The sequence below is a fragment of the Homo sapiens genome, chromosome 18, assembly GCF_000001405.40.
Source record: "Homo sapiens chromosome 18, GRCh38.p14 Primary Assembly".
NCBI classification, from domain to species: Eukaryota; Metazoa; Chordata; class Mammalia; order Primates; family Hominidae; genus Homo; species Homo sapiens.
Window position 1 is genome coordinate 70,183,395 of NC_000018.10, and position 22,301 is coordinate 70,205,695.

Sequence of the window (22,301 nt, forward strand, 5' to 3'; positions counted from 1 at the left end):
AAGATGATTACTGAGATTTAAATTGAACAACTCCCAGGGCTCACACAAGACAATAAAACTCAGTCTTCAACCAGGCAGAGTAGACAGTCATCAATCATCACTTTGGACATTCAATAGAGGTCCCAAAGGATCACATCTCAGGAGCAGAGTTTAACCCCAAGCAAAGGTTCTTCTAGATCAGGGTTTCTCAACCTTAACACTTCCTCAAGGTTTTCTGACATCTTGAGCTAAAACATTCTTTGTTGTGGTGAGCTGTTCTGGCTTCTATCTACTAGAAGCCAGCAGCACCACTCCAGGTGTGACAATCAAAAATGGCTCCCGACGTTGCCAAACATCCTCTGGGAAGCAAAATTACCCCCCAGTTGAAAACCACTATTTTAGACCCATTCTAGCAAAATTTTTTAAAGTCTTGAGAAAATGAAACTGCTCTACAAGTAACATAACCACCTGTCAGCCTCAAACTTCTGGGTTCGAGTGATCCTCCTGCCTCAGCTTTCCAAATAGCTGGGACTATAGGTATGCACCTACATGCCCAGCTAATGTTACTAATTTTTGAAGAGACAAGATCTTACTTTGTTGCCCAGGTTCATCTCAAGCTCCTGGCTTCAAGTAATGCTCCCATGCTGGCCTCCCAAAGTGCTTCAGAACCCTCCCAAAGTGCTTCTAAAAGGGTAAAATAAAAAATCAAGACACTCAACATGGTAACATTGAAAAGGTCCAGCATCCAATCAGAAATTACTACACATATCAAATATTAAGATCCATAAAGAGAAAAGTCAGCCAGTGGACAAGACCCAAAACTGAAATACTCAAATGTATAAGACCTATACACTGACAACTTCAAAACAATGCAGAGACAAATTAAAGAGCTAAATAAGGCTGGGCACAGTGGCTCATGCCTGTAGTCCCAGCACTCTGGGAGGCCGAGGCAGGCAGATCACCTGAGGTCAGGAGTTCGAGACCAGCCTGGCCAACATGGTGAAACCCTGTCTCTACTAAAAATACAAAAAAATTAGCTGGGCACATGCCTGTAATCTCAGCTACTTGGGAGGCTGAAGCTGTAGTGACAGTCACTTGAACCCGGGAGGCGGACAGTGCAGTGAGCCAAGATCATGCCACTGCACTCCAGTCTGGGTGACAGAATGAGATTCCATGTTAAAAAAAATAAAAATAAAAATAAATAATGAGCTAAACAAGTGAAGACATATATATGGTATTCATGGATCAGAAGATTCAATACTATTAAGATGTCAATTTTTCCTGAATTGATCTACAAATTCAACTCAATTCCATTCAAAACCACAGCAGGTTTTTTTTTTTTTTGTGTGTGTGTGTGTGTGTGTGTGTGTGTGTGTGTGTGTGTGGTGGCGGGCGCCTGTAGTCCCAGCTACTTGGGAGGCTGAGGCAGGAGAATGGCGTGAACCTGGGAGGTGGAGCTTACAGTGATCCGAGATGGCGCCACTGCACTCCAGCCTGGGCAACAGAGCGAGGACTACATATCAGAAAAAAAAAACAAGAACAAAGTTGAAGGACTTATACTACCTTATTTCAAGACTTACAATAAGCTTCACTATAGCTAACTATAAGCCTTCACTATAAGCTACAATAATTAAGTCAGTTGGGTATTGGCATCATAAGAGAAAACCGATCAAATAGATTCCAGAAGTAAACCCACATATAGTTAGTTGGTAAGGAATTCAGGAAAGAAAGGACAGTCATTTGAACAAATAGTGCTGAGAAAATAATTGTATACCCATAAAAAAAAAAGTTCATTCCTTACCTTGTGCTAGATACAAAAATCAACTCAAAATTAATCAAAGATATAAAACCTAAAACATATGTAATAATTCTAAAAGAAAGCATAGGAAACACTCTTTGTATTCCAAGTTAGGCAAAGATTTCTTAGATAAAATATCAAAAGCATGATCCATAAAAGAAAAACTAAGAAACTGAACCTCATCAAAATTAAGTTTTTCTGCTCTTCAAAAAGCTAAATGATCATCTCAATAGAGACAAAAGATTTGGCAAAATACAATAATCATTCATGATCAAAACTTTCAACAAACTAAGAATACATGGAACTTCCTCAACTTTATAAAGGCATCTACAAAATACAAATGTACTAGAGCTAATCTTGTATTTAATGGTGAAAGATCGAATGCTTCCCTCTAAATCATGAAGAAGGCTCTCACCACATCCATCCAACATTATACTAAGGCTTCTAGCCAGGGCAATTAGGCAATTTAAAAAAATTAAAGGTATCCAGAGTGAATAGAAAGAAATAAAACTGTCTTTATTCACAGATAAGATGATCTTAAAACTGTTTTTATTCACAGATAACAAGATTTTATAGATAGAAAATCCTAAGGGATCTACCAGAAAACAAAACAAAACAAAAAAAACTACCAGAACTAGTAAGTTCAGCAAGGCCACCAAATAGACGATCAATACACAAAAATCAATTGTATTTCTATATACTAACAATGAGCAATCCAAAAACTTTTAAAATTTTCATTCACAATGGCATTGAAAAGAATACTTAAGAATAAGTGTTTTTTTAAAAAAAAACCTAGACTTGCTCTCTAAAAATTACAAAAGATGCTCATAATCATCAGTCACTAGGGAAATGCAAATTAAAACCCACTAAGATACCATTGCACATCTATCAGAATGCCCTCTCCCCCCCAAAAAAAAAAAAAAAACTGAACATAATAGATGTTGAAGATGTGGAACAACTGGAATGTCCATAGGAATGTTATTTGTAATAACTAGAAACAACCCCATTGTCCACCAACAGGTGAATGGATAAACAAATTGTGGTATGTCCACACAATGTAATACTACTCAGAAATAAAATGAATAAACTACAGTAAGCCTTCACTTAACTTGGTCAACAGGTTCTTGGAAACTGACTTTAATGAAACAGCATTACAAGTTCCATGCCATTTCACTAAATGCTGATGAGAAAAAATAACTGGGTTTGTTATAAGTCAGTTTGCTTAAAGTCACAGTTTCCGAAAACCTATCTATGATGCCAAGTGAGGAACTGCTGTACTACTACATAAACAACATGGCTCAGCCGGGCGCGGTGGCTCGCACCTGTAATTCTAGCACTTTCGGAGACCAAGGCAGGCAGATCACTTGAGGCCATTCTACCATAAAGACACATACATGTGTATGTTCACTGCTGCACTATTCACAATAGCAAAGACATGGAATCAACCTAAATGCCTATCAATGGGAGACTGATTAAGGAAAATGTGGTACATACACACCAATGAATACTATGCAGCCATAAAAATGCATGAGATCATATCCTTTGCGGCAACATGGATGGAGCTGGAGGCCATTATCCTATGCAAACTAATCCAGAAACAGAAAACCAAATACACATATTCTCACTTATAAGTGGGAGCTAAACAATGAGAACACATGGACCCAAAGAGGGGAATAACAGACACCAGGGATTACTCGACGGCAGAGAGTGGGAGGAGGACCACAAAAATTACCTATCGGGTACTAGGCTTATTACCTGGGTGACAAAATAATCTGTACACCAAACCCCCATGACACAGTTTACCTACATAACAAACCTGCACACGTACCGCTGAAGCTAAATAAAAGTTTTTTAGAAAAACAGCATGCCCACTTAAATAAATCTACCCTAGAGACATACCTGCACATTTATGAAATAGCATAAGCCCATTATTCTTTGTACATAATTTATATTAACAATAATATCCATCAAGAGACTAGGTTAACAAATACACAACGAAGCATTTGCTACCTATAAAAAAGAACGAGAAAATCTCACGTATAGATAGATAGGGAATAATCCTCATACCTACTATTCTATGCACATAAGACGTATTTTTAAGTTATAAAAACAGGGTGCAAAACAGTGTCTATAATATACCACCTTTTATGCAGGATGGGGAGAGGATAAGAATCTACATACTTAGTTGCTTACATTTGCAAAAATAAAATAAAAATAGAAAAAAATAGCCAGAAAATAAAAATGACTACCAATAAGGAAAACATCTTAAAGGTAACTGGATGGGAGAGAGGCATCTCTGAGCTACATTTTTATGAAGAAAAAACAATTCCCAATAGTGAAAACAAACAAAAAAAAATCTAACTGTATGCTGAATGGGTAACGGTAGCTTTAAGGCACAGTATTTTGACTGTATATCCTTAGTGAGATTAGTCTATCTCAAAAAGAACTGCCAGGAAATCTTGAACTTTTCATTAGAATTGTTCATAGCAATGTTAATATTGCTGTTCTGAAACTATCTTATGTATGTTTAAGGTCAAAGCTAATAAGCAATTATGCTGATATTGCTAGGAACGAAGACTTTCTACAAGCGCAAGGATAAGAAATACAAATTTAAAATAAGAAAAATAGCAATAAACTCACGATCTTTAAAAATACGTATTTCCTAATTGTTCCTGAAAGAAAAGAATGATATCACAGTAGCTATAACCACCTCTAATGGCCTGGTTTTGGTCTTAATATACGTTCCACTATTAGAAGTAACCAGAACCTTTGGAAAAATAGGCCTGTTCCAGGCTATTTATAACATAAGCCTGGGACATATTGAGTCAAAAAGAAAAAAGATTTTGAACACGAATGAGACAATGAAACCGGCTTAAAAGAACCAAAATCTTAAAAAATACTATTCCCTATATCCCAAAGAAAACATTGATTCTTACCATATCTATACCAAAAAGGCTGCTGTCATCCCAGATATCTGTTGAAATTGCTTCACCAATAAGTGTCATATCCTCTGTAAGCAATTCCAGAACTCTTATTATCACTTGTCTGCTACCTAGGAATACAAACAGAAAAAAGTAAAGGAGAAGAAGTTACTTAACTTTAAAATAATCAGCTGAATATCATATTGCTCAATTTTCTAGTTAGTCATGCTCCAACATTTTCTCTTTTTTTCTAATGTTCTTAGAACTGTAGAGAAATCACAATTTACAATCACACTGAAGGCTTCTGTTCCAGTCACAGTACTACTTTACTACATAACAAATCAAATACATTTATAATTGGAAAAGATATTGAAAGTAGCAATAATCTAACAAGTACTGTGAGATAGATTAAAATAATTTTTCGAATTTAGGGACCATCCATTTTACACGTAATATGTGACAAAGCACCAGAAAGGTTTAGAAAACGTATTCCAATAATTTCTACTTAGTACTAGAAGGCGTGAGCCTTCTCATAAATTAGTATTTTCCCACACAGGAGTTGCCTGGGAAGCTAAGCTTGGACTGGAGCAACTAAAGGAATAAATGAACATGCTAACATTTGCTAAAGAAACTATTTGTACTCACCTTAAACTCAAAAAAACTTCCCAAAGTCACACCCACCAGAGCAACCTCCTTTCTCCACAGAGACAGAATAACAAAGACTCCACTTCCATTATCCTGTGTGAGACGAACATTCACACGAGACTTTCCCACCCCGCATCCCAAAGGTTAAGTTCTAATGAATCAAAGTAAAACAAACTACCAGATTGGAAGGATCTAGATTAATTTTTTCACTAGAAGAGCTGGACCAAATTCTCTTACAAATCTCTTACGATATTGAACAGTTACAAATCATGCCATAATTTACCACAAAAGGGCAGGAGAACATTTAGTTTTTATGTACCAAGATATAGCTTTATAATTATCAATCTGACTTTTTAAAGCAAATTAAGGAAAGGTTAAATGCAAAATCATTAAAGTCTAAGACTGTTCTTCTCAGCTTACCAGACAGATAAACATATGTACTTTATGATGCCAAAGTTCAGATCTTTCTTCATTTCACATTATTAGTATATGAATTAATATATAGTTCCAGCTAGTAGAAGCACTTACTGAGTAAAAAGTATGAGTACACAGTTTTCCTCAGGATAAAAACATTTTAAATGTTTTCCAAATATATACCTTCCTGCTTCTTTCTCCTCCATCACCTCCAAGTGGCAAAAAATAGACATGGGACTTAAAGAACCATTAACTTGGAATATATATTTTTACTTTGCCAGTATAAAGTAAAAAGGGCAAAACTTGGTTATCTTATTTATATCCTGATGAGTTTATCAAACGTTGAAAATGTATAGATTTTGAGAATAAAAATCATGACTGTTTTCTTTCTAAAACTTTCTTTACACCTTGCAAAATGCTAAAGTATTTAAAAGCATGGACTTTAGATTCAAAAGAATCGTGGTTCAAGTCCCTGCTTTTAGCCGTTTGACTTCAGGCAAGTTTCTAAACCACTCAAAAACTCAGCTTCATCATTTGTAAAAATGGAGATAAAATTAGTTAACTACCAGTGAAAAAACAAAATGGGTTGATATGAAAAATACACGAAATAATGCACACAAAACCAAGTATGAAGGCAGAACCCAGTAGGGACACGTGCTAACTGTTGTTTCATTACTAGACTCAGCAGACCTCTGTCATATTGTTATTGCTGTTACCATTGTTCAGTACAATTACAATTAAATACCAGTGTATATTTCAGTCAACCTCTTCAAATTTTCCTAGTACATCTGAACAAAAATGGGATCTCAAAATATTTGTGGCTTTTTTAAGAAAAATTACTACAAAGGTAAGAATCCAGTTTTGGAGTTTTGTTTTTAACATGTTAAGTGGCTTAAGTAGCAAGAAATGAATGGGAAGAGTAAACAACTGACAGCTAATCAAAAAGTTTCCAAAGAGCAAAAGCCAAAGATTTTTTTATTCTGGTCTATTCATGCCAGTCCACCTTTTATACCTTATTCCAGTTGCTGAATGTTGTCACTGCTCAAATTTAAAATAGCCATACAGTCCAAAAAAAAAAGAAAAAAATAGATGACAGCAAGAATAAATGCAAAAAATAGATAAAAATTCTAAAAAAAAAATAAGCATGAAAGCCTGTGCCAATAAAAACTCATAAAATGGAAGGGCAAGCTGAATAGCCCTCCAAGGCATCCACATTTAATTTAAAAATAATAAAGACCTTATTAGGTTTTTAGAAATTTATATCCCAAAAGATAAGTAAATACAGATTCCAAAGGCCCTAACATAGAAGAGAAAAAAAGGAAAATCCTAACGAAATACAAAACAGACACAAATTATATCAGAATTACGATTTCTAAAACAACTAACCTGTTCTTAAGAGAGGAACAGCTGATTCCAGAATGGAGACACAAAACTGGGGAAGACTGAGCTGCTGGAATTGTAGTTCCAATGTGTCTTCAGTTTCCAGCTCTGGCAGATCTATGTGTCCCATATCCAAAGGTGAATGAACGGATATCCTGGAGTTTACATGAGCATGACTACTACTTCCACTGCAAGATAAACAAATGATAAACCTTGCATACAGAAACAATCCCCAAACAGATTTACTGCATATCTGCTGCCTCGCATATTAGAAGCCTCATACAAGTCACAACTCTACTGCTTCATTCAACTCTGGTCAGATTTGTAGAAACTTTGACAAATTTACGAAATTAAATTCCATAAAGATGACTCAAGGCCAGGAGTGGTGGCTCATGCCTGTCATCCCAGCACTTTGGGAGGCCAAGGCGGGCAGATCACCTGAGGTCAGGAGTTCAAGACCAGCCTGGCCAACATGGTGAAATCCCACCTCTACTAAAAATACAAAAAAAAAAATTCGCTGGGCATGGTGGCACACACCTGTAATCCCAGCTACTGGGGAGGCTGAGGCGGGAGAATCTTCTGAGCCCAGGAGGTAGACGTTGCAGTGAGCTGAGATAGCGACACTGCACTCCAGCCTGGGCGACAGAGCAAGACTCCATCTCAAAAAAAAAAAAAGACTCTAAATTGTAAATGAAGCCAAAAATGCATCTATATTTTGCTTGTCAGGCTGATATCTCAAAACATGTCAACATTCCTATAGTAGGAATCAATATTAGCACTGATAACCCATTCATTTCCAAAAGGAAATAAGCAGATTTATAGGAAAGCTCTTCTGTAATCAACGTGTAGAGACAAAACCAATAGTTCATACCGTTTCCTAGATTTTCTGAGTTTCACCACTGTTCTGAGTAAGCCAGTGTTAGTAAATGAAGGATGTTTCTAGAAAAACCTCATGGGAAATGTATTACTTCACTTAGTACATTCGACATCATGTAGTGACTTCAAAAATGCACCCAAAAAAACGGAACATCCCATTGTCCTTGGCTTTCTTCATTAAAAAGTTCTTACCTCGGATGTAAAGTGCTGGAGTAAGGATTTAAAAAGTGTAGAAAGGCTAGAGCCTCACACTTACAAAGAGCCTCAAAATTTTGTCTTTTGATGTTATCCACAACCGAAGCTGGATCACAAGAGACATATTAATGCTATGGAACATTTAAATTTGCCCAAATTATAAACCAACTTTGTCGTTTCTTCAATTTCAAGATACCAAGCACCCCAAAATATGGAAACAACTCGGGCTTCTCTGTAACTCTGAAAGGAAGTTTCAGTGAGGAAGCTGTTCACTCAGGAGTGAAAACTTAGAAGCATGAAGCACACAAGAGAATGAGGCAGAAAGGCTTCAGGAGAAAGAGAAAAACATGGCTGAACAACCAACTACAATATAAGGACTAAGAGCATAGACTCTCCTATCATTTTATTTAACCCTAGCTCTGCTCTTTACCAACTGTTATGCTCTTAACCTCTCTAAACCTCAATGAGGATGATAATAATAATACTAATGCTATATATAATATCAATCCTATTCTAGGACAACTAAAGGAGACAAAGTATGCAAAGCACAGGGCATAACACCATACACACAGCAGGTATGAATCAGTATTAGCTTGTTAACAGTAGTAGCAGTATTGCAAGAAAATAATTAAGCCAACAGACCAATGCTTAACTTAGTGAACATTTTTTAGAATGACACTAAAGAGACTAATATGTTTCTAACACATTTGCACCCAAGGATAAGGTAACATACAAATACCACACCAATCCTTTTAAGCAGAGTTGGTGTATGAAAATCTGGGTGCCAAGCACTGGGGGCCAAGCATGGTGACTCATGTCTGTAATCTCAGCACTTTACGAGGCCAAGATGGGAAGATCACTTGAGCCCAGGAGTTCGAGACCAGCCTGGGAAACATAGTGAGACCCCATCTCTACAAAAAATAAAAGGCTTAGCCAAGTATGGTAGTGCACATCTGTGGTCCCAGCCACTCAGGAGGCTGAGGCGAAAGGATCACTTGAGCCCAGAAGTCAAGGCTATAATCGTGCCACTGCACTCCAGCCTAGGCAAGAGAGTGAGACCTTGTCTCAAAAAAAAAAAAAAAAAAAAGAAAAAAATCTGTATTTACACAAACAAATACCATAAATTGTTCACCTTGAAGGAGTCCTTATTTTATAAAATTCTCCAACCATTCCTTTTAACAGTAAACACTTATCCATTTGTTATAAGACTTACAAAAATATGTGTAAAATACTATCAACAATGTATCTATCATTTAAAGCTATTCTTTTAAACTTGATCATATTCCGTTTGCAGCTGGTAAAAACAATTTATTGGGTCAGAATCATTTCTTTTCTAATGAAATCGGAACTGAAAATATAGTTCAGTGTGTCAAACATAGTATCAGAATACTATTATGTGAACATTTTGTTTTGGGGGACACATACACACACATATATATACATAAACAGAGCATATGTTCAAGTACTGAGCACTGAGTTGCGATGTAATATTTATCTGTCCTTACCGTGGATCATGGTCAAAAAAAGTATGAAGCCAGGGTTTAACACAAGGCCTATACCTGTGTTAATGTTTCAAAAAAAAAAAAAAAAAAAAGGACAGAAAAATAATTATCTCCTTCTGAAATTAACACACACACAAGTTAACCGGCATTTCTCATTTCCCCAGAGACACTGCTAGCAGTCACCTAGAGGACGCTGCATCCCAGTCCTGGCCATCTCCTCTGGGTCGCTGGCCTGTGCGCCCAACCACAGAAGGCCGAGGGCTGCTGCTTCCTGGGGAAGGATTCTGGGAATGATGAGTACCTCTTGCTTCATGACAATAAGACAAAGAAGAATTTTGGGAAACTGTGTCTGGGGAAACAAAGAAAAAATAAAATTATTCTTTAGTAGAAACAGACTTCTGACTATGTGGTATTTATGTATCATTCTTCCAAAAACATTAACAAATTAAGATAGTAGGAATCCTTCTACAGGGGTAAAAACAAAAGCAAAGATCAAACTTTTCTATAAGTATTCACTTAGTACATTTAGGTTTATATCTAACTGACTTGATTACATGGGACCTTCTAGTCAATGGCATTCAGTTACAACATTAGAGACTACCAAAGCAGAAAAACACTAGATCATGCACTCGTCTGCTTAAAACTCTCCAAGAATGGCTACCTCATACTGTACATAAAAATTAATTCAAAGTGGATCAACAACCTAAATATAAAAGCTAAAGCCATAAAGCTCTTAGCGGAAAAAATAAATCTTCATGACCTTGAATTTGGCAATCGATTGTTAACTATGACATCGAAAGCACAAACAACCAAGGAACAGACAGATAAGCTGGACTTCATCAAAATCTAAAACTTTGGTACACCAAGGGAACATTACAAGAAAGTGTTAAGATAACTTATAGAGTGGGAGGAAATATTGGCAAACCATATATCTGATAAGGGTTTAATTTTCAGAATATATAAGTAACCTAAAACCCAGCAATAAAGAAACCAGTCCAATTTTTAAAATGGGCAAAGAACTTTAATAAACATTTCTCCAAAGAAGATACATGAACAAACAATAAGCACATAAAAAGTTATTAGAGATTCATTGGTCATTAATTATTAGGTCTTTAGAGAAATGCAAATCAAAACCATGAGATACCACTTCACATCTACTAGGATGACTACGATTATTTTTAAAAAAGAAAAAAATGAACAAGTCAGTGATGATGTGGAAAAACTGGAAGCTTTATATATTGCTGATAGAAATGTAAATGGTACAGCTGCTGTGGAAAATAGTTTGGTGATTCTTCAAAAAGCTAAAGATAGAATTTCCATATGACGCAGCAATTTCACTATTATTCACTGGGTATTACCCAAAAGAATTGAAACCAGGCACTGCACAGATACTTGCATGCCAATGTTCACTGAAGCATTATTCACAACCGCCAAATGTGGGTACAACCCACATGTCCATCGACAAATGCATAGATGAATAAAATGTGGGATATACATGCAAAGGAATATTATTCAGCCATATAAAGGAATGAAGTTCTGATACAAGCTACAATGTGGATGAAGCTTGAAAACATTACAAATAAACCAGACACAAAAGGACAAATACTGTATGATTCCTCTTAGATGAGGTACCTAGAATAGACAAAATCAGAGACAGAAAGTAAATTAGAGTTTACCAGCTTTGGGGAAAGGAAAAATGAGGAATCACTGCTTAATGATTAGAGTTTCTGTTTCAGATAATGAAGAGGTTTAGAAACAGATAGTGGTGATGGCTGCACAACAATGTGAATGTTATTAATGTCACTATATTGTATACTTAAAAATGTTTATAATGGCATATTTTATATTATACCTATTTTACCCCAATTTAAAAAAAGAATTAGGTAATAAAAGCATTTACAGTCAGAGAGAGGGGGAAAAAAAACTCTCCAAGAGCTTCTCACTACACTTCAAAGAAAATATAAAATCTTTAAAAAGATCTGCAAGCCCCAATATACTCTGGCCCCTAACTACCTCTCTGATGTCACCTCATTCTCCTCTTCTGCCCAGCTCACTGCAGTCCACTCTCATGGGCTTTATTTCAGTTGCTCAAGGACATCACCCTCAGTGCTAACCTTGAGGCCTGGCCTTCCCTGGAACACTCTTCTTGCAGCTCTTCGAGTGACGATTCCTTGTCACCCTTCAGGTCACCTCCTCTGAGGGACTTTCTCTGACTATCCTAAATGAAGCTATGTTTACCCAACCACGTTGTGTCACATCACCCTTTTTATTTCCTTCAAGTACTTCTCCTTATCTCAAGCAAACTTGATTGTTTATCACCTGTCCCCAGCCTTTTAAAATAGAAGCTTTCTGAGGGACTTTCCCTGACTATCCTAAATGAAGCTATGTTTACCCAACCACATTCTGTCACATCACCCTTTTTATTTCCTTCAAGTACTTCTCCTTATCTCAAGCAAACTTGATTGTTTATCACCTGTGCCCAGCCTTTTAAAATAGAAGCTCATAAGGGCTTGGATCTTATTCGTTTGTTCAGTGTTATACTTCCCTAGAGGCTAGAATATCAGGGGCATAAAACAGGTAATAAATACATACTTATTAAATACATTAACAATTCTTCAGAGATATCAACTTTTTAAATCAACATTGTAACTCTTTTTCTGTTGAAGTATGGGGTACCCAGACGTTCTCTATTACCAGTCATTTGTACAATGCCATACCCTCTAAGATCTAGAATAAAACCAAGGTAAAGCATAAATATTCAAGTAGCACAGGATCAGTGAAACTCCCAATGAAATAGGGATTAACTATGAAACATGATGACAAATGACTATAATATTTGACTTTCGATGCAGGTTGCATTAAGCTCACAAAAATCCTAAATGGTACTGGTTTTGTCGAAGCCAGGCTGGTACTCTATTTGGCCATTAGGTGGCACTTTTTCTCTGAAGTCTCACATTGCTGCAACACTTGACTACATTGCAAGTTGCATAAAAATACTCTTCATAAAATTCAAATCAATATTTTTCAAACAAAACAATGTATTAACACTATATGTAACTTGCTAAATTGTCCAAAGTCCTACATGAATAGCCATACCAAATATCCGAGTCACTACATCCCAACAACACTATATAGAATCTCTGCAAGTTTGGGAGAAAAAAGAAAAACACCTTGTAAATATCTCTTATCCAGAAAAAAAAAAAAAGGCTCAAGAGATCATGGCAGTTTCTGTCATTCACGCAATCTGTAAAGATAATCATTTGAATACATTTAGGAGTGGGGAGTTTATGTTGTGAAAATGCGTACACAATAAACCCTAACAGTAACTATAATGGAAGGTTCCCAGAAGAATCTACAAATAACACCAGTGGCTAATGAACAGATAAAAATAAATACCGTGTTTATTGGAGAAAAAACCTGGATCTCGGTGAAAGTTAAGTCTGTTTCTTAAATACATGCACAGCTGCTGCAGGCAGGACACCGACTGTAATGCCAGGCGATGCTTTCCATCTCCAAAGGCCAGTTTCAACAGAGATAAAAGGCTCTGAAATCAAGAAGAGCCGTGAAAATTACTAAGGGAACAAAGAGCTCAACTTCAAAGCAGAATGTGGAGCTTAAGTAAGTAAGCCTAAGTGAATAATCAAGAGAAAATAAGTTGCCAAATATTTGTAAGACATAAGAAACTGAAATGGGCAAATATGACTTGGCATAAAGCAAGGAGATGGGTCAAAATAAAATAAGACAACAACATTTAAATAGAATAGTCAGTGTTTCCTATTTCTAAAATCTGTTAGTTGAGTAACCATTCTGAGAGAAGACAGAAATTATTCCCCACTCAGGACATTACATTACAGAGAACATTTTAAAAATCACAGCAAGCCCTTTTCATCTCAAGCATCTAAACCATTTAACCACATTTTAGTAATTAACAGCTTTCCTCTGCGATCATTTGCCAGCTTTGATCCTAGGTATTAACAGTTGGCACCCACTGGAGTCCATTTCAGCCCTGGGAGTGTGGAGCGAGAATGCTGAGCCATTACTGGCTGCTGTGAAGATGTTGCAATTCCCCACCCTGGATCCCTCTCTCTCTACTATACAAGCAATAAACTAGAAAAAAAGAAAAGAATCCATCTGCGTTACTCACCGCTACTGTATTTTCCCAGCATGTAGCACTGTGCGTTAAATAAACGAGATACTCAAGAAGCAATGCTATTCTTACTTTTAATAAGGGCTCCTGCACAATCTCAATGTCCAAAGTCTACTCTACCATTTAGGTGATCCATAAATGGTAACTCAAGGTGGCCAGACTGGACTGCAAGTGTCAAATGAAACTACTACTATTGGAAGAACTATAACTATCCACCCAAGTTAGCGAATAAGTGCTTTAAATAGCCAAATACTTCACTTTTTAAAAACATGAGTACAAAGTTCCTTCCCAAGAACTCCTACTCTGCAAAATTTGCTTTATTGCAAAAAGTTCTCTAGTTCAAAATCTAAAACAATTATAGAGGGCACTGACCTGAACAATTTTTGGCCTTTGAAGGAAAATCTCAGCAGGAAAATCTTGCATGATAACATCCTTCAATAGTTCACAGGTGTTCCAGATTAAAGTGTGGTTACTACTTCTTAAAGAGCTACAAAACATAGCGTTAATCATTTTTAAGAAGAGTTCATCTATTCCAGATTCTAAGTAGCCTACTGACACAATGACTCCATTAACAATCTTTTGGGTCTCAGCTGAGATATCACTTCTCCAGAAAAGCCTTCCTAGATCTTTTCCCTAACCAATAAACAACTCTAGGGCAGTGCTCCTTCCGTTTGTCCATTATTTGTGATATTGTTAACTGCCTGTTGATTTTGCATTCCCCACTAGACCCTCTCAAGAGCAGGAACGACATCATACTAAACACTGTACCCTCAGAGATTATCACAAGTCTGCAAAACGAGTTCAATGAGGTCAAAGAGCACACAATTCTAGGAAATCTGCCAAATAAATTAAGAAATGAGACAGAACAAAAGTACAGAGGCAAATTCTAAGAATTAAAGTCCTTACTGATCTTCCCCACTCAAGGTGAATCAGATTAGGACTCCCCTCTTATCCCATACAGAGGACACCTATCAACTTCTGCCCACCTAGGATTGGCAGTTGTTCACTCCCCACCCCAAAAAAATCACACCCCTTCTCTCAGCCCAGTTCCATTATACTATCCACCATTCACTATCTACAGGCATGCATTAGAAATTATCGCCATCTCTGCCTTTGGGACTGACTCAAAACTGAGAGATCATACAACCTCCTAACCCTTTCCCATGTGCACTTTGCCTCTCGAATATGTTGTTCCAAGAGAATTCATGTCATTATTAAAAATCACTTAATGGCATCCACCTGTAATCTGGACTTAGCCCTAGTAAATTGGTCTTTATTTTCCAGATTTATACCCCAAAAAAGCAGATAACTCGTGTATTGTGGCATTTATGAAACTGCACAAAGTGAATCTGGACATTAAAATACTCTCTAAATCTCTATATATCAGCTATTTACTCTTGTGGGTAGCAATCAATTAACAGTCATTACATTAGATTGGATCAGTGGTACCCAACCTTATCCACATGGTTTAATTTGTCTCCTAATGAAGCCCACATTTTGAAATATATTCTGCCAAAAAGACTACATTTATGTTCAATTTTCCATTTTTATCAATCAAGGGCATAAGCAATGGCCAATAAGAGAATCTGGCCAATAAGAGAAAACTCCTGTCACCAAGGACTACACAAGAGTCCAACCACAAAAAGAAACGTGGGCCAAATGCAGTGGCTCACACCTGGAATCTCAGCACTTTGAGAGGCCAAGAGGGGCGGATCACTTGAGATTAAGAGTTGAAGACCAGCTTGGCCAACGTGGGGAAACCCCATCTCTACTAAAAATACAAAAATTAGCTCAGCGTGGTGGTGCGTGCCTGTAATTCCAGCTACTCAGGAGGCTGTGGCACAAGAATCGCTTGAACCCAGGAGGCGGAGGTTGCATTGAGCCAGATGGTGCCATTGCACTCCAGCCCGGGTGACAGAGTGAGACTCTGTCTCAAAAATAAATAAATAAATAAATAAAAGAAACTTGATGTGTAGATTGATTAAAAGCAAATAGGAATTTTTTTCTGGCTAGCTTTTTGAAAAATAAAAATCATTTAAATATGACCATTACTACCTTTCACTGCCACTAGTATCTTTTCCTGGTAAAACATATTGTAATAACTATCAAACTTAATGACTATAAGTGAACAAAAATACCTGAAAATACATCAAGCACCGTACCTTTCATTAGAGGAGAGGACATGTCTGTCTGTGGTGGTCAGGGGTAGCCAAGGAAATGTAGAAAACTTCAAGCACTTCACAGTCTGATTTACTGTCAGTGAAAGAGCAAATCTTATGGTATCAAAGAATAAAGAGATGACAGATTCACAATGTTAAGAGTAAGTTTTCCCTTTAAAACAAGTCCCAAAATAAAGGCTGCATCTTACAGTAACCTAAAATATACCAAACAAGGTCAGCTGCAAATTTGTTCTATCACAGGATAAATAAGAGAGTTCTCTTTTCATAATTTAAACAGAACTCATATGATATCAAAATAAGTATTAGAAGAAGAGCATTAAACACAATCCAATACAGACTGACATATGAAGTTTCCATTAAATTTTCTATTTTACCCTGTGGCTGACCAGAACATCAAACTTAAATTCAACATAAAAGGAACTGACATTTAGGGAAAACCTTAACTTTTCAAAATTAAAAATGATAAAACATAATGATATACCATATCTAGCCATGTTCAAATATCCTATATGGTGTCAGGTGTTTTAAACCTCTGCGAAGATGACTTGAAGACCGTAAGGTCAAAAAACAAGTATCAGTGTTCGAACAAGATTAAAAGAAATCTGAGAAAGCAACAGTTTTAAACTATCCCCATGCAAGTTATTTTTAACAGATCTTATATAGTACAAGTTAAGGTGGCAACACTGAGAAATAGCATCTACATAAGTCCTTCCAAATGGCAGTCTTTCTGCCAAGTGCTTTGAAAAGAGCATGGAATCGCTAAATGTGGATAGCAGTATTATTAAATTCCCAAACATAGCACAGTTACTTCTTTCAAAATTGCTAACATAAAAGCAGGATTTACTTTCTAAGGAAATAAGGAGAGGTGGGTGGAGGGAAGGACAGGCTTACACCACACAGTAAAAATGTGTCCAAAATAAGCCAGACCCTCAATCAAGACAAACTGCAACTCACATAAAAGTGTAACAATCTCAATCCCCCTTAATGTTTTCATCGGCTTCATTCAGACACCCATCCTTTACCAACCCTAGAGATTCCCCCTCCCTTCAGATGTCTCTCATCTTGATGGAATTAAGCCTCTCAGCCATCTGGCCTCAAAAACAAAGCTTGCTACAAGCCTAACAATGAATGAAAAGGTAAAGTATTCTAATGGCTTAACAAGTTTTCAGTTCTTTCTTGTTATTCCACCTGTGAGTTTCCATGAAAGCTTTTTAATAACAGAGGCTTCCAAATGGAGTTCATTTGAATATGTGACATCAGCAGATATACTCTTGAACATATCCTTTTCAACTTAACTGTGCAGGCAAGAAAATGGTAAGTACGTGATTACTTAACTACTTCCTAACTGCCTCACCAAGGACAAAGTTTTCAACCTTTCTAATCTCAGTGTCTTTATTAGTAAAATGTGGTCACTAATAATACCAATCTCAAAGACACTCCAGGAGGATTCATTCATTCCTTCAAAGAATATATACTGAGTGCCTAATACATTTTTTGGTATTGTTCCAGACACTGAAAATAATGCAATGTTCACGGCTATTATCAAACTTAAAACAAAAATAATAAAAAATAATGTGTTAGGAAGAAAACTACACATAGGAAGTGATCACTGGCTAGAATCACCAGGAAGGTCTCTGATGAGGTGGCATGTGAGCTGAGGCTGAACACAGCCAGATACAAAAAGATGGAGATGAGATTCCAGATTCCAGAAACAGGGTTCTAAATCAGAACTTTTTAATTAACTGGGTGGTGAGGAAATGGGAAAAGAAACTAAAATGATCTTCAGCCTCTGGCTGGCGTAACTGGATAGATGGTGCCATCGTTAAGCTGGAGAACAAATGAGATGACATGTGTAGTGCAGGGCACAATGCCTCAAAAAACTCATGTTCGGCCGGGCGCGGTGGCTCACGCCTGTAATCCCAGCACTTTGGGAGGCCGAGGCGGGCGGATCACGAGGTCAGGAGATCGAGACCATCCCGGCTAAAAAAAAAACGGTGAAACCCCGTCTCTACTAAAAATACAAAAAATTAGCTGGGCGTAGTGGCGGGCGCCTGTAGTCCCAGCTACTTGGGAGGCTGAGGCAGGAGAATGGCGTGAACCCGGGAGGCGGAGCTTGCAGTGAGCCGAGATCCCACCACTGCACTCCAGCCTGGGCGACAGAGCGAGACTCCATCTCAAAAAAAAAAAAAAAAAAAAAAAAAAACTCATGTTCATTCAGTACGACATACTACTGCCATTAATACCATCCATCTACACAGTTGTTCAAATATGGTTAGAATAACACAAAATTTTATCATTTCTACTCGATATCCTAAACTAACTTGAAACAACTAAAACATTTAATGATAGTTTGGTGCTGAAACATTCAAGTTTGGTAAAAATACATCTTCACAATAACGAAAAAAGTACATTAATTTTCAACTTCCCAAGTCAACAGGATTTACTTCCCGACATATACACACCCACTGGTCGTGGCGGCACTTCCATCTGCTGGAAATTACTTTTGTCTTGGGGAAAATATCCTGTTAAGATTTCAGGGTTTTTTGACAATTCTGAAAAGGAAATAAACATTACTGTATTGTCGATTCCTTATTTGCTAAAAGTGAAACTTACTTTCTTTAAGTGGTAATGTTTTCTCTTAAGTATTGGAATCATTTTAAAAATTAAAAAAAAGTCCAGTTTTTTTTCTGAATGATCTATCTTGCTAAAGAGGAAAAAATGTGCACATTGAGCCCACTTCCAGTTAAGAAGCTTTTTCCCTCTCACTTTTACTGTTAGCCAAACACAGTTATTTGTTAGAATGTACACGAAGAATCTGCTACAAAGTATTCAAGGACTATCCCTCTCTACTTCCTAATCCATCTCCCTCTCCCTTGACTCCAATTATATAGTTCCTGATCACTTCAATTTTCATTCATACCTTAAAAAGAAAGTTGTCAAAAACAAAGGAGTCAAATATTATCTTTCAATACCTTTACAATTCCCTATAACATGCGATTATATGTTCAGCAGTTCAGCTGCAATGAAAATGAGGAAAAGGCTAAAACTATAGTTTGTAATTTTAAGTTTTCATGGCAATAGTTCCTAACACTAATAAAGAAAAATAACATTTAGCCCTAAACCATTCCTCTACTTTCACCCGCAAGGAATCAGATTAAAAATTCACAGTGTAAGACTCTACTTTATTTGTGATGTCTTCGAAACTGTAAAATATATTGTTAAAAATCACAGGTTTGGGAGCCAGATAAAGCAATGTTAGAATCCTGCATCTGCTACAGGTTAGAAAACTTGGTACTGTGGGGCAAGTTACTTTATACTTTTATTCTCAGCTATAGAGTAAGACTAATAACATCTCAGTCAAAAGGCTGCTTTAAGATTTAACAAGATGATGTGTTTAAATCAATGTATTCAATGCCCACAACAAAACTCAATAAATGACAGCTGCTATTGTTGTTGTGAACCGCAGTACCCACAGCTGAAGCTGTAACAGTACTGGCAGAGAAGAAAATATGGTCTAACAGGTTAAGCATCAAAACTTTTTTTTTTTTTTTTTACTTTTACTACTCAGTCACATAAATTGCATGAAGATGTTTTTCTTCAAATCAATTCAAATGCATTCCATGTGCAAGGCACTATACTAGGCATTAACAACAACACAACAGCAGCAGCACAGCAGCCAACACAGCCACATTTCATACATGCTGGGCCCTGTGCTAAGCACTTTACAGACATTGTCTCATCTAATCTCATGACGATTCTATGAGAAAGTGTTCTTTTTTTTTTTTCGAGATGGAGTCTTGCTCTGTCACCCAGGCTGGAGTGCAATGGAGTGATCTCAGCTCACCGTTGCAACCTCCGCCCCCCGGGTTCAAGTGATTCTCCTGCCTCAGCCTCCCTACTAGCTGGGATTACAGGCGCCCGCCACTATGTCCGGCTAATTTTTGTATTGTATTTTTAGTAGTGACGGGGCACCATGTTGGTCAGGCTGGTCTTGAACTTCTGACCACCTGCCTCGGCTTCCCAAAGTGCCGGGATTACAGGCGTGAGCCACCATGCCCAGCCCGGTGTTCTTTCTTATTATCCCAGTTTTTGAATGAGAAAACTGAAGCCTGGAAGGGTTAATTACCTTAGCCAAGGTCACACAACTAGCAGCAGAACTGAGACTTAAATCCATGTCTCTTTGACTTGGATTTTAACAAGTATATCATGATGGACTGCAGCATATAAAAATACTTGCATTATGTCGTTTTGATTGGTCCCCACAACAAGATCATGAGCTAGGACAGATATCATTATACTCCAATATGACGAACAAGGTCAAAAATACAAATATAAAGCACTAAGAACAATGAGCACTCATGTGCTCAATAAAAATACATTGTTATTGCCAAAAAAATAATCTGTCAAACTGGCCTCATAAAAGCAAAGTCACTGGCATCGTTTAGGCCTGACCCAAAAAGCAATTAATGCAAATGTACCATCCTTTGACTAACAGTAGAGGAGGGGAAAAAGGTCAAAATCATGTAAGTTAACACAAGAAAAATAAGTTTGGGGGAGGTGGGAGAAATCCTTTTTAAAAAAATCTAATCTCCCTTTCCTTAAAATTTACCATTAGAATTAATATATTTGTATTTAACAGATTCCAAAGAGTTACCAGTTTGATTGGTTTGGTATGAGGCAGAAGATAGTGCAGGAACTTCCGAAGGAAGAAGAAAAAGTCCATCCAGAATGCCATCAATTTCAGCCTGCAGATTTGGCTCCACATTAGACCGAAGCTTAGATAAGAACTCTACTGCACCAACGTCAACCAAATGTTGGACTGCTGGGGGATACTAAAATAAGAAGAGGATGATCTTGAGAATAACTGTATCAAAATCTCTATAACTTACAGCAATCAAAACATAAAATTATTTTTGGTATATCAGATGTTCCTTTTCTGAAAAACAAATCCTTCATGGCTCTGCCCCGAAGTAAGGCACTTCCATGAGGAGCACATACACCTATAGAGACATACATCCAACACTTGATAACATTTATGAAAGATGAGCCAACACACTGAACGCTAGAAATGCACATTATCAATCCCTACTCTTATTTTTTTAATGGGTTACTTTTTTCCACTGACACTCACCTTATGGTCCCAGCCCCAACCGGTCAACAGGATGTCAAAGTAGTTTAAGATTCCTCTACCATTGTACAGTGATTTAGTTTTGAAAGGTTAAACTTACACTTTGATATCTGACCCCGATAACTAACTACTCTTGAGGTAGGCATAAGAATACCAATCTAAAAGCATATGGGCAAGCAACTTAACATTGGTATTTATGAATCACGGTTATGTAACATTATTTTTAAAGTGCTCCCTTTCATACTGACATATCTAGTTTTTAAGATGTAAATGTCAGAAAACAAAAACAGAATACAAATATTAACCTCCAAAGATAACTCAAAAACACAGAACATACCAAAACTCAAAAGAAGTTCTGTGTTACTTCTGAGCACAGCAGAGACCATGTGGGATTCAGTATCACAAATAAAAGATGAACCATATACCCAGATTAATTAAAATTAAACATCTCTGGTTGATTAAAAAAACTTTTAACCCCAATTATTTAACTTTCAATAAACGCTACAATTAAATGACTAAGAAACAAGTCACTCGTCTGATTATTTTCTTTATTTCAAAATGACCCTACCTTAACCAATCTGCTTAACAGGTTCAGAACCTCTTCCTTCATCGGAACGGACGGGAAATTGAACCATTCCAGCAAATGAAGAAAAAGTTGCCTCTCCTGAATGAGATCAGCGTAGCAGATTAAGTTGTGCTCAATCTTGCAGAGAATACTCTTGAGAGCGCGCTCCCTGATCTCGGCCAGCTGATGACCTGTCAACGAACGGCACAAAACTATTTTATTTCCCGACTGCAAAGAGACTACGTTATTTATGCTGTGGGCAGGAGCGGCGTGAAGACGGAATAAACCAGTTTTTTTCAGAAGCAGGCCACTGGTGCCTTCGGGACGCGAACCGCGAAGTTTACACAAAGTCCGAGATGGGTCCCCGGGGGCTATCCTGACAAAGCGGGGGTGAAAGAGGGAGCGGTCGCGGAGCGGCCGGCCGCGGAAACGTGACACGACCATTCTCAGCAAGTGGCCAGAGCGCGGGGGGTGCCTTGGGCGAGGGGCAAGCTGACAGTTACCGAGTTTCCTGATGAGCCCTGCCAGGACCATCTCGTCCCGTCAATCTGCAGCCGCCGGAGAATTAAAC

General features: G+C 37.4%; 1 protein-coding gene across 17 annotated transcripts in view, besides 2 other annotated features; it reads right to left on the reverse strand.

Annotated features, from left to right (window-relative positions):
* Positions 1–22,293, reverse strand: part of RTTN (rotatin) — a 202,657-nt gene extending 180,364 nt beyond the window's left edge. For 15 of the 17 annotated variants that reach the window (XR_430072.4, XR_007066140.1, NM_001318520.2 and 12 more), the window contains exons 1-10: positions 22,234–22,293; positions 21,734–21,921; positions 20,692–20,869; positions 18,500–18,589; positions 16,020–16,110; positions 14,230–14,344; positions 13,107–13,254; positions 9,894–10,059; positions 7,144–7,325; positions 4,714–4,829 (exon numbers count right to left, since the gene is read on the reverse strand). Coding sequence is in view for 14 of the 17 variants with exons in the window: in XM_047437468.1 (XP_047293424.1) it covers positions 4,714–4,829; positions 7,144–7,325; positions 9,894–10,059; positions 13,107–13,254; positions 14,230–14,344; positions 16,020–16,110; positions 18,500–18,589; positions 20,692–20,869; positions 21,734–21,921; positions 22,234–22,264 (1,305 nt within the window). In the remaining 3 variants the exon portion in view is untranslated. Of the gene's footprint in view, positions 1–4,713; positions 4,830–7,143; positions 7,326–9,713; positions 9,782–9,893; positions 10,060–13,106; positions 13,255–14,229; positions 14,345–16,019; positions 16,131–18,499; positions 18,590–20,691; positions 20,870–21,733; positions 21,922–22,233 lie in introns of those variants that run through there. The other 2 variants (XM_017025694.2, XM_017025695.2) reach the window with 2 other exon arrangements.
* Positions 10,955–11,004: an enhancer, noted in NCBI's record as "active region_13483". NCBI's record gives its function as "activates an Ori minimal core promoter by ATAC-STARR-seq in GM12878 lymphoblastoid cells {active_cell/tissue: GM12878}" and the evidence as "EXISTENCE:reporter gene assay evidence [ECO:0000049][PMID:35858748]".
* Positions 21,993–22,122: an enhancer, noted in NCBI's record as "active region_13484". NCBI's record gives its function as "activates an Ori minimal core promoter by ATAC-STARR-seq in GM12878 lymphoblastoid cells {active_cell/tissue: GM12878}" and the evidence as "EXISTENCE:reporter gene assay evidence [ECO:0000049][PMID:35858748]".